Source organism: Homo sapiens, chromosome 3 (assembly GCF_000001405.40).
Source record: "Homo sapiens chromosome 3, GRCh38.p14 Primary Assembly".
In the NCBI taxonomy this organism is placed as follows: domain Eukaryota; kingdom Metazoa; phylum Chordata; class Mammalia; order Primates; family Hominidae; genus Homo; species Homo sapiens.
In genome coordinates this window covers 193235055-193247387 of record NC_000003.12, presented here as the reverse complement: position 1 = coordinate 193247387, position 12333 = coordinate 193235055, and the positions used below count along the sequence as shown (strand labels likewise).

At 40.9% G+C, this 12333-nt stretch overlaps 1 protein-coding gene and 2 long non-coding RNA genes across 10 annotated transcripts in view, besides 1 other annotated feature; 1 reads left to right on the top strand and 2 right to left on the bottom strand.

The window, feature by feature from the left end:
* The window catches only part of PLAAT1 (phospholipase A and acyltransferase 1), a 40821-nt gene extending 34039 nt beyond the window's left edge, over positions 1–6782 (bottom strand). For 5 of the 7 annotated variants that reach the window (XM_011513035.3, XM_011513034.2, NM_001366112.1 and 2 more), the window contains exon 1: positions 5855–6166. Coding sequence is in view for 2 of the 7 variants with exons in the window: in XM_047448624.1 (XP_047304580.1) it covers positions 5855–6009 (155 nt within the window). In the remaining 5 variants the exon portion in view is untranslated. Of the gene's footprint in view, positions 1–5389; positions 6167–6566 lie in introns of those variants that run through there. The other 2 variants (XM_047448626.1, XM_047448625.1) reach the window with 2 other exon arrangements.
* MGC2889 (uncharacterized protein) lies at positions 3416–5609 on the bottom strand. The gene has a single exon (NR_026877.1). It is a non-coding gene; the product is annotated as an uncharacterized protein MGC2889 (long non-coding RNA).
* Positions 6015–6264: a silencer, noted in NCBI's record as "silent region_15008". NCBI's record gives its function as "represses an Ori minimal core promoter by ATAC-STARR-seq in GM12878 lymphoblastoid cells {active_cell/tissue: GM12878}" and the evidence as "EXISTENCE:reporter gene assay evidence [ECO:0000049][PMID:35858748]".
* Positions 6365–10720, top strand: LOC105374280 (uncharacterized). 2 transcript variants are annotated; one of them, XR_924833.3, is made up of 3 exons: positions 6365–6493; positions 7543–7638; positions 8854–10720. It is a non-coding gene; the product is annotated as an uncharacterized LOC105374280 (long non-coding RNA). The 2 variants fall into 2 exon arrangements; XR_001741071.2 differs by lacking the exon at positions 6365–6493 and adding an exon at positions 6793–6838.
* Positions 10721–12333: the final 1613 nt, after the last annotated feature.

The window sequence follows — 12333 nt, the reverse complement described above, 5'->3', positions numbered from 1 at the left end:
TGAATTTCTGGTGGCTCCACATATTCCTCCAGTGTGCATGTGGGCCCTTAGTGTGCTGTGGGCATGTTTAGGCAAGCCCCCTGTGCAAGTTCCCTTATCTGCACAAAATATCTGGTGTAAGCACCTGTGGGGTGGGTCAGAGGTTCTCTGGGGATCCTTTACTTACTGTCTGCCTAAAGCAAGCTAACTAACTCCTTTCAACATCCCAGAAATACAAAGGATCATAGAAGACTACTATGAACAGCTAAATACCAAGAAATTGGATAACACAGAAGAAATGGATGAATTCCTAGAAACATGCAACCCAAGACTGAATCAGGAAGAAACAGAAAATCTGAGTAGACCAATAATAAATAAGGAAATTGAATTGTAATAAACAATCTCCCACCAAAGGAAAGCCCAGGACCTGATGGCTTCACAGGTGAATCCCATTAAGTGCTCAAGAAGAAATACCAATCCTTCTCAAGCTCTTCCAAAAAATTATAAAACAGGGACTACCTCAGAGCTTATTTTATGAGGCCAGTATTACCCTGACACCAAAGCCAGGCAAGAACACCCCAAGAAAACTACAGGCCAATATCCCTGATGAACACAAATGCAAAGATCTTTAACAAAATACTAGCAAACTGCATTCAACAGTAAATTTAAACGATCACTCACCATAATCAAGTGGGACTTATCCCAGGGATGCAAGGATGGGTGAACATATATAAATCAATAAATATGGGCCAGGCACTGTGGCTCATGCTTGTAATCCCAGCACTTTGGGAGGCCGAGGCAGATGGATATCTTGAGCCCAGGAGTTCTAGACCAGCCTAGGAAACATGGCTAAACCTCATCTCTACAAAAATACCAAAAGCTAACATGGTGGCATGTGCCTGTGGTCCTAACTACTTGAGAGGCTGAGGTGAGAGGACAGCTTGAGCTCGATGCGGGTGGAGGTTGCAGTGAGTCAAGATCACACCACTGCACTCCAGCTTGGGTGACAGAGTAAGACTCTGTCTCAAAAATAAATAAATAAATACATTAATAAATAAATATACCATATTAACAAAATGAACGACAAAAAGCACACAAGTATCTCAGTAGATGCAGAAAAAACATTTGACAAAATCCAACACCCATTCACGCTACAAAACTCTCAAAAAATAGGCATAGAAAGAATGTACCTTAACACAATAAAGGCCATATATGACAAGCCCACAGACACCATCATGCTCGATGGTAAAAAGTTGAAAGTTTTTCCTGTAAGATTAGAAAGACAACAGTGATTCCCACTCTCACAGCTATTCAACATAGTCTGGAAGTCCTAGCTAGAGCAATTAGGCAAGAAGAAGAAATAAAAGGCATTCATATAGGAATGGAAGAAGTGTATTTCTGTTTGTTGATGACATTAGGATTCTCCTTGCACATGAAATGGGAGAAAACATTTGTAAACTGCACATTTGCTATGGGGCTAACATGAAAAATATATAAGGAATCCATACAACTCAATAGCAAGAAAACAAGTCAATTAAAAACTTGGCAAAGTATCTAAACAGACATTTTACAAAAGAAGAGACACAAATAGCCAAAAGGTAGATGGAAAAAATACTCAACATCTCTAATCATCAGGGAAATGCAAATTAAAGCCACAATGTGGTATCTCCTCATGCTTGTTAGAAGGGCTGTTACCAAAAATGATAAGAAGTGTTGGTGAGGATGTGGAGAAAAGGAAACCCTTGTATATCGTTGGTGGGAATGCAAATTGGTTTAGCCATTTTGGAAAATAGTATGGAAGTTTCCTAAAAAACTAAAAGTAGAATTACCATATGATCCAGAAATCATCCTTCTGGGTATATAACCAAATGAACTGAAGCCATTACGTTGAAGAGATATCTGCACCCTCATGTTCATTTTAGCATTGTTCATAATAGCCAAGATACAGAAGCAACCTAAGTGTCTATTAATGGATAAACGGATAAAAATGTGGTACATATACACATTGAAATAACTATACAGCCTTTTAAAAAAGGAAATTTCGTCATTAGTGACAACATGGATGGAACTGAGGAACACTGTGCTAAGTGAAATAAGCCAGAAACGTAAGAGAAATACAGTATGATCTCACGTGTGAAATCTAAAAACGCTGACCTCATAGAAATAGAGTACAGAGGTCATTACCAGAGGCTAAAGGGAAGAGAGAGAAATGAGGAAAGGGAAGAAGTGGATCAAAGGGTAAAAAGTTTCAGTTAGACTGAAGAAGTAGGTTTTAGTGATTTATTGCACTGCATGTTGACCACACATAATAATGTACTGCATATTTCAAGACTGTTAAAACAGATTTTTAACATTCTCACCACCACAAAAAATAATAAATTGGTGAGATGATGTATATGTGCTATGGTTTGAATGTTTGTCTCCTCCAAAATGCATGTTGAAACTGAATGTCTAATGTGGTAGTATTGAGAAGTGGGGCAGGCCTTGAAGAGGTGGTTGGATCAGGAGAGCTCTGTCCTCATGAATGGATTAATCTATTCATGGATTACTGGATTAAGGAGTTCATGGATTAAAGGATTATCATGGGAAGGGAACTAGTGGCTTTATCACAGGAAGAGAGACCTAAGCTAGCAAGGTAGCATACTCAGCCCCCTTACCATGTGATACTCTGTACCACCTTGGGACTCTGCAGAGTCTCCACCAACAAGAAGGCTCTCACAAGAAGTGGTCCCTTGACCTTGGATTTCTCAGCCTCCATAACTATAAGAAATACATTAATTTTCTTTATAAATTACTTAGTTTTTGGCATTCTGTTATAAATCTGTTATAACAGAAAATGAACTAATACATTAGTTTGATTATTTCTATAATGTATGGATAGATTAAAACATCACGTTGTACCCCATAAATATAAATCATTGTCAATTTAAAAAAAAAAAACAAAATGAGATATCATTATACATCTAACAGAATAGCTAAAATAAAAAACAGTGACAACATCAAATGTTGACAATGATGCAGAGTCATCATTGTCATTAACTGGATCACTCATTCACTGCTGGTGGGAATGTGTAGCTACTCTGGAAGCAGTCTGGCAACTTCCTTAAAAGTTTAGCTTGTAACTACTATATAATCCAGCAACTGTACTTCTAGGCATTTACCCCTGAGAATAAAGACAATGAAGATTTATAGCCACCCAAAAACCTGCACACAAAAGCTTATAGCAGCTTTATTCATCATATCCCAAAAGTGGAAACAACCAAGATGACCTTCAAAGGGTGGTTAAAAAAATTAAAAAATAAAAAACTGTGTGCAGGCCTACCATGGAATACTACTTAGGAATAAAGGAAAAAACTATTGACATATGCGACAACCTGAATGTACCTCTAGAGAATTATACTTAGTGGAAAAAATAAAAACACACAATGCCAAAGGGTCACACACTATATCATTCCATTTTTATAACATTCTTGAAATGATACAATTATTTAAAAAGATAGTGAACACACAGTGGTTGCTATGAGTTAAGGAAGTGGAGGAGGCAGTGGGAGGGAAGTAGGTGTGGCTATAAAAGGCCAACAAGTGGGATTCTAGTGGTGACAGGTTGTTCTGTTAGACTGCGAGCTGATTATTGTGGTGACCATTTTACAGATGAGGAAACTGAGACTCAGATGAGTTAAGTGCCAGACCTAAAGTCGCACAGGTAGTAAGCGACACAACTGGAATTCAATTTCAGGTGTCCCTTCTTATTCCAGAGTTCATGCTCCTTTTTTATACCATTGATTAACATCATTAACCAAAGGAATTTCTACTAAGCAACATTTCATTTTTTCCCCTTCTCAAATACTATTAGATGGAGCAGCTGCAAAAGCATGCAAATACATATTTCATATAACACCACAGGAAGTTTTTAAATATTCATATGCAGAACCAGAAGATAATGTGAAGTGGAACCTCGCTCCAGAATCCCTGCACCTTTCCAGTTGCGGAGTTTCCGGGTGAGGTTAGAATATCTCTAAGGTGCCCAGGCTCAGATTTTAGGCAAATATCTGTAACCTGTCTGATTGGGTAAGTTTTACATGGACCACATCTACCAATTTCATTCAGACAAATTGTGTAATGCAGTGCTTCATAAGTATGAGAAAACACAGAACCAATTAAAGACACATTTATAACATCCTCTACTACAATCTTTAAGGTAAAAAAATGCTTCATTTTGAGTCCATCTGCAAAGAACTGTATGAACAGTTTATAATAAAGAGTGGCATGAAGGTTAAGTCTGTAATCTTTGTATAAGAAATTTCCCATTTCAACTGGCCAACTGGCAAAACAGGCTGCTGTCTTTATAGCTCTCTGTTGGTCCCTGGGGATGCATCAAAATAAATAAATGTTCCCTGCCGATAGGGACAGGCTGAACGTCTGCTCATGCCTAAGAGGCCACCCAAGTTACAGAAACACGAAGAGCACTTTTTTAACAACTACTCCCAAGAATGTTACTGGAAGTCTGAAACACAATCGCAGGTGATCACAGGCTACCCCTGGCCCAAGGCTTCTAATTAGGTTTCGACCTTTTCCCATTCCAGCTGCACTTTCCATCCATAATCCTCCTACACTGTGATGTTTCCATGAAGCCCTGTATTCCCAGATTGGCTAATTCATAGACTCTCAGTGCTGCAAAGATCCTTGGTCCAACACTCTCACGCTACAAAGGAGGGTTCCACTCCTTGGCCAAATTAACTATCCGCTGCCACAGCACTGTCATGCCTTGCTTGGAATCTTCCAGGGCTTCCCACCACTGACTCCCCATCTTGGTCCCCCGCCCTAGAATCCTGGCATCCTTATTAATCTCTACATTCTAGGCAAATCAAACTATCCATTATTCTTCCCACTCAAGAGTATTGTTTTGTTTTTGTTAATACTGAACCTTCTACCCAGAATGCCCATTTCCAAGTGCCCCAAATGACTCAATCTTAAAAAATCCAAGTCGATGCCACCTTCTCCCCCTCTCTCCTCCACTCCCCAGGTCGGATTGTCTTCCTCCGATCCGCCTTCTTTAGCTTCCACAGGCATCCATCTAATGGCCCATTCACTTCCTACACCTGCCTCAGCTACTGGTCTCTGGGAAATTGTCTCTTGTGGGGCATACGCTATGGAGGGATGCTTCTTGTTTTTCTCTATACCATGCGTCCGATCTTTTGGCTTCCCTGAGCCACACTGGGAGAACTGTCTTGGGCCACACATAAAATACACTAACTCTAATGATAGCTGATGAGAAAAAAAAAAAAAGCGCAAAAAAAAAACCTCTCATAATGTTTTAAGAACATTTACAAATTTGTGTTGGGCGGCATTCAAAGCTGTCCTGGGCCGCACGCGGTTAGTGAGCCACGGGTTGGACAAGCTTGCTCTATACCTTCAGTCTCCGGTGAGAGTGCCTCGCACAAGTAACTGCGGAGCAAATGTTCATTGAATGAAGGAATGAGGAATCCAAGCCCAGAGAAAACATGAGTGACTTTTTCCAGCACGAGTCATATTAATAGTCTCGCATGCCAAAGGAATATCACCATCCAACTTTCCAAAATCCAATACGATAATAATTACTTGTATTATTATTCATATTCACTTCAGTGAGGACAGTAGGCTTAAAAAGCCTTAAACAGGTTGGGTTTCTAGTCCCAGCTCTGCCACTTAATAGCTGTGTAACCTAGGGAAGAAAGTCTCTTGCCCTGTGGACTGAGTTCCCCAGTCTGTGAAAAAGAGGAGGGTGGATAAGCTCCGTTGTTCTCTAGTCATGTCAACTTTTCCCACTTGCCAGTTGGTTAGAACACGGTTGGTTGCCGGGGCGCCTCGAGGTCCTCCCCCACTCCGCCCAGCACACCTCACTCTCAAGCCGGGGTCTTCTTCTCGCACCGGGAGGCAGCTGTGTGTGTCCTGGGGTCTCTCTTGGCCTCGCAGCTGCCGACCTTGCCGCCGGCGGCCGCGGGACGACTCCATCTGTACCCGGGAGACACCCGGGAGGCAGGCGCCAGCCATCACTCGGGGCCGTCCTCCAGGGCCAACGCCAGCACCAGCGCCGCCACGCTGAAACGGTCCCGGCGGCCCCTCCGCGGCTCTGAGACGCCCGCACGCCGGGGGGCCGACGCGCTGGGCTCGGCGTCCGGGCGCTGCCGAGCCGGCACGAGGCTCTGACCATGGGGAGCCGCCCGCTCCGCCCAGGAGGCGGGGCACAGTCGCTCCGGCTAGACCTCGCTTGGCCCCGAGCCCAGCTTCGCCCGCCCGCCCGCCCGCCCGCCGGGGAACTGCACCTTCTCGCGCCCCGACGCAGCCGCCTCCGCGCGCGCACGCAACGCACGCGCTCCAGCGCCTACGGTCAAAGCGCCGCGCAACCAGTTATTCCGCCCCCGGCTCCGCACCCGCGTCTCGGACGTTCCCGCAGCCAACGTTTAGGGCACCAGGCGCTGTGCTAGGCGCCGCGGTTATAAAGATAATCGGTTTTGTTGAGCCCAGGAATGTTCGGGTACACCCATCATGAGTACACCCACTCTTCTAGCCTAACAAAAATTCCCTTAGGGCCCAAGGAATCATGGTACCTGCACCCCAAGAAAGCCTCTGGGTCTTTGAGTCAGCAAAGTGGCGGAGGAAGGACTGGCCCTAAAACAACCTCACTGCTTACACACACCACACCACACACACACACACGCCAGATAGCCAGCAGAGACCTCCAACCACACACACACACACACACACACACACACACGCCAGATAGCCAGCACAGACCTCCAGACCCCGCCCCGCCCCCCTCCCCCGGCCCCCCTCCGCCCCCACGCGCCAAATAGCCAGCAGAGACCTCCAGGATATGGCTGTGAGTTTAAAAATAAAGCTGGGGCAGGGAGAGTATCCTTTTTCTCACTGCTAAAAAAAGAGGCCAGGAATACTAACCTAGCTAAGTAAGGAACCCTTGAAGACTAAGTGAACTTTATGGAGCGCTGCACAGGACGTTGCTTCAACCTAGTCATAACTTAGATTTTTATTCTGATGTAAATGGAATCTCAGCTAAAAGGATTTTTTCCCACTTATTTGAAGGCTAAAAAATATCTCGCTAATTTTATGTATTTTGTCATAATGGGATAACAACTACCTAAATATGCAACTTTTTTCGTAAAGCTATTGGGTTGTGTTATGAAGGTTAAGGGTGAATCTGAGTGATCTGAAACTTTGGGTCTGGATTGGCACCTTTGGAAACAGTCCACAGAAGGACATTGAAAACGTAATTATTGACAAAGTGGAAACTAGAACACTTGAGAAGTTGTAGCTTTTTTTATGCATTAATATTTTCTTACATGTTCCTTAATATATATCCAGAGTTATAAGCTGAATCAGATATGCCTTTCAATACCCTTTTAATGTCTCAAAGAGAAAGCCATAAACATGCATTTGCTTTATGTTTCTCAACTATTTCGATGGAGTCATCACTGTAGGAAGTGGTTCATGATTTTATACAGGAGAGGTATTGTGAGCATTTATAAAGCCATCCTGCTTATGAGCCAAATTTATTATGTTTGCTAGGTTAATCTGTTTTCTCTAATCAAACACTTAATCATCCAGTCTCCTCTCTGCGTTATGGATTCATGAATGTGAAGTGAGGAGAGTTGCTCAGTCAAGGTAAAATGATAAATTATCTTTTCATTTTCAGGGTATTTGTGATTAAATGCTTCATAATAGAATTAAAATGAAATAAATCTTGTAATTTCACTTCTAGATTCCTGCCAGGTATAGATAAAACGCATTTGGTTAAGAACAAATTCAATTCAATGCCTGCGTGGAATTTATAGGAGAAATGTAGAAAGCGTTGTAGTTCAGGAGAGCCCTGAGTTCTCTCTTCATTTCTATGGATTGGAGAGAGAGTTGATCAATCGGTGGTACTCTACGGATGAGCAGTGGAAAATTAAAATTTCCATTAAGAAAGAATGAGGACTTAGCCTTGGGCAGTAATAGGCAAAGTTTGTCTTAATCTAGAGTTGTAATCTGGGGCTATGATTGGAGCAGATGTTAAATTACACTTAAATAAACAGTTCCTATTATTTTGGCCATTATAAGTGAAGCCCTGTGTGGCTGGCATTCTCTGTTGCTGCCTAATTTTATAGTAAGAGTTGAAACATATTGAAAAAAGCATAATGGAGATGACTTAGTCCTGTTTGTTGTTGAGTGAATAAAGTTCACATTCCAGAAAAAGCCCTATAAGGTAACAAAAATTACAATTGGCTTTTTAACACATGGAAACTCAAACCAATTGGCATTGTGTGATATTAGACAGAGGCCTCAAACAACCCTATATGTTTTGTGCATATTTTACAATTAGCAAAGCGCTTTGATTCTGTTGTCTCATTTGATCCTCTCAGCAAACTTGTGACTGCTCAGTCCTGGCAGTTGGTGTGAGGCCTGAGATGTGGAGCTCTGTATTCCAGTTCTCCTGGGGTAGAACTGAAGTCAGGCCTCTTAGGCAAGAGCTCTTCCCCTACCCAGACTCCCTCTTTTATCAGACAGCAAAAGAAAAACCTTTTTTTTAATAGGTTTTCAAAACCACAAAAATAAAAGAGCTGCACAAATAACTGAAATATTTGCCAAGATAATGCAGAGATGGTTGGCTACGTTTTATGTGAGCTAGTAAGAGTTGAGACAATCATTCCAATAGTTCCAACCTCAGCCCCTAAAATCTATGCTGTAAAAGTAAAAGCTTTTTTCTTGACTTGAATGTCCAGGCCACCTGCCTGCTCAGACTGGATTTTTTTCCTGTACAAATTACTTAACCCTCTAATTCAATCTGCTTTGTGTATTTCTGGTCAATATCATTGCAACTGAAAATCTGTTTGCTTACAGGTTTTTCACGTACTGCACATCCAAGCTAGGTAATGTCTCTGCAACTGCTGCTTCCTGATGATTATATTCATCTGAAATGACTAAGCTTGGTAAATTAGGCTAAGTCAAGTCTGTGGAGCAGTCAAGGGACGAATGAAGAAAAGAATAATGTAATGGAGGCTACACCAGAGACATGGGAATCTATCAGCATGTGGCAAGGAAGGAAGAACATAGCTATGTCTTCTATATAAAGAGTTGCCTGCATTCTTCTCAGAAAAAAAAAGACAATGGAAAGGCAATGAGTCATGAGTCTTGGGTTCTAAGCCTGGTTCTACCATTTGCTAGCTGTATGATAAGAAGCATGTTTGTTAAACCTCTGAGCCTCAGCTTATATATATACGAAACAGGAAAAATAGTAACATAGCCTGCCATCTTCACAGATTTGTGAAAAGGTCTTTTAAATATCCAAAAAGCTTAGTATGTATAAGAAAGATTAAATTGGCTGGGCGCGGTGGCTCACGCCTGTAATCCCAGCACTTTGGGAGGCCGAGGCGGGCGGATCACAAGGTCAGGAGATCGAGACCATCTTGGCTAACACGGTGAAACCCCGTCTCTACTAAAAATACAAAAAATTAGCCGGGCGCGGTGGCGGGCGCCTGTAGTCCCAGCTACTCGGGAGGCTGAGGCAGGAGAATGGCGTGAACCTGGGAGGCGGAGCTTGCAGTGAGCCGAGATTGCGCCACTGCAATCCGGCCTGGGCTAAACAGCGGGACTCCGTCTCAAAAAAAAAAAAAAAAAAAAAAAAAAGAAAGATTAAATTTAAGCTATGGGTATGACACAAAAATATACTTGAAAATTATTCTTAAATTTCACCATATTTAGGAAGTGGCTAAATATCAACATAATATTCCTACTTCTGCATTTCCTATTTCTCTCTTTGCATTTTAAATTCAGAGGAAGTTATCTCATTTATTAATTGTAACATTTAAATAGTATACATTTCTGTCATTTAAAAGTGGTACTGACAATGTAGTTAAACCTTTATTATCTTTTATTGGTTTAATAAATAAAAGTGCATGACTAAAAACAGGCCACAAATATCAATGATTTTGGGGATTTCGCCCTACAGGAAAATCATACAATGCATTTGGAAAAAGGTAATTCTGACTTGTCCTCTACGAAATGCTAAATTTCTGCACAAAAGCTTAAAGCACAAGTGTTTACAGGATTCTTGGTGACAAGAAAAGTGATAGTAAATGTGCTTTAGCACTAAAATTCATGTATCCATGGAAACCTGTGAAGTTCTGTAAGCACACACACACGGCCTGCGGTATTTATTGAAGAGCTAAGACAGCGATCAGTGGGTTACTATGCTGTGAAAAGCCGACAGATTGCTGGGAGCTGCTATGCACAGGCATGGATGAGGTTGTTTTTCCCCTGCTAAATGTAATTACAGAGGAATTCAGAAGTCTCAGATATTACTGAGAAAAAAAAAACATGTTTATTTATTTATATGTACTTGTACCTTTCAGAATACAGTGTCCTTTTTTTACAGTGTCAGATTTTTTAGTCAGGAAAGCCTTGAAAAGTCATCAGCATTTCCCTTTCCCACACATTTGTAGCCATAGTCAAAAACTCTCTAGTAGATTTTCCATGTGTGCAAAGAAAGATATTTCTTGGATGTTAGGAGAGAATGCCCCCAGTTTTTTCCAAACTGATTATTCCTGGGTATTTAAATATGTTTCTTATCAGTGTTTCGTAACGTATAATGATTGTGAAAGCAAAGAGCATGATGATATTTGGGGGAAAGAATCGCCTACAAATATCTGAAGTGTTTATTTAACCACAGACTGATACTCTAATAAAATAAAGAAGTAATGCTATTTCATAAAGGCATATTCATATGGCATTCTTTTATTAAAACATACATCTCATCTCGTTTAATCCTTACATCAATCTCAATGAGTACTATTATGCCCACATTCTCTTCCATTGCCAAGTCCTGGATTCTTTCTCAAATCTTATTCTAAACTTTAATAACTTGGAAATGGTCTGTGTTTGGGTTGAAACAGAGGTAAAATTATTGAGTTCTTAAACGTACTTCATGTTTTATTCCCACAGTTTTCCTTTAAAGTTTTTTTTTGTGTTTGGTCTTCTAAAGATGGACTGTTCAATAGGAGAGCCATTAGCCACATGTGATTACTGAACACTTAGGGGCTCACGTGAAATAATATTTGAATATATTGATTTGAATAGTAAATGCTAATTTCAGCTGTTTTAAAAATTGTTTTAATATGCTTACTAAAATATTTTAAAATATATATGTGGCTAGCATTATATTTCTACTGGACAGCACTGCTATTATCCAGAGCATTCAAAAGGGGTCTCTTTTTAAAAATCATTTAGTATATGCCAGAGTTTCTCAGTCTTGCAACTGACTTGCCATACTTTTCACCAGAAACAATGAGATTAGTTCACACTGATTGTTTTCACCTAAAAGAAGTGCTTTAAGTTATCTTCTTTTTGTGGACCAGGTTTCTCTTCTTTTCTCCCATGCAATTCTCCGGCAAAATCCAAGTAAGCAAATCAACCTTGTTTTGTTGTTGTTGTTTGTTTGTTTGTTTGTTTTTGAGCTCTCTGGGCCTCAATATTTGTTTATTCTAATGTATTTTTAATGGAGTTTAATAATTAAGTAAATTATGTAGATAAACCCTCGTGCAAGAGTTTGTAATGATCCAAGACTCTGGTGATTTAGTTTTAACTCATAAGACTGGGGGAAAAAAAAGAGAGCACATTGAAGAAATAATAGTTTGCTTCCAGTTGTATTAGGAATACTTTCAGCTGCAAGTAAGAGAAGACCACATTAATAATAGTGGCTTAAACAACAGAGGTTTATTTTTCTCATATATTAAGAAGTCTGAAGATAGGCCCTTGCTGGATTGATACTTTGCATCAAATCCCTCAGAAAAACTTGTTGCTTTAACCTTTAAAATATATCTAGAATCCAGCCTTTCTCCCTACCTCCATCACTTCCACTTGTGTCCAGAAACTCTTCTTTTAGTAACATTTTTCTAGCTTATCTGTTTTCTTCCTTGTTCTCATTTAACATTTTCTATATCCAGCAGCCAGAAAGGTTCTGTTAAAATTTTATAGCATGGGCTGGGCACTGTGGCTCACACCTGTAATCCCAGCACTTTGGAAGGCCAAGGTGGATGGATCACCTGAGGTCAGGAGTTCGAGACCAGCCTAACCAACATGGTGAAACCCTGTCTCTACTAAATACAAAAATTAGCCAGGCATGGTGGCACTCGTCTGTAATCCCGGCTACTTGGGAGACTGAGGCAGGACAATAGCTTGAACCCGGGAGGCAGAGGTTGCAGTGAGCCAAGATTGTGCCATTCCACTCCAGCCTGGGCAACAGGAGCCTAATCCCATCTCAAAAAAAAAAAATGTATAGCATGTTGCTCCCCTGCTCAAAATCTTCCAATAATTTCGTATGTC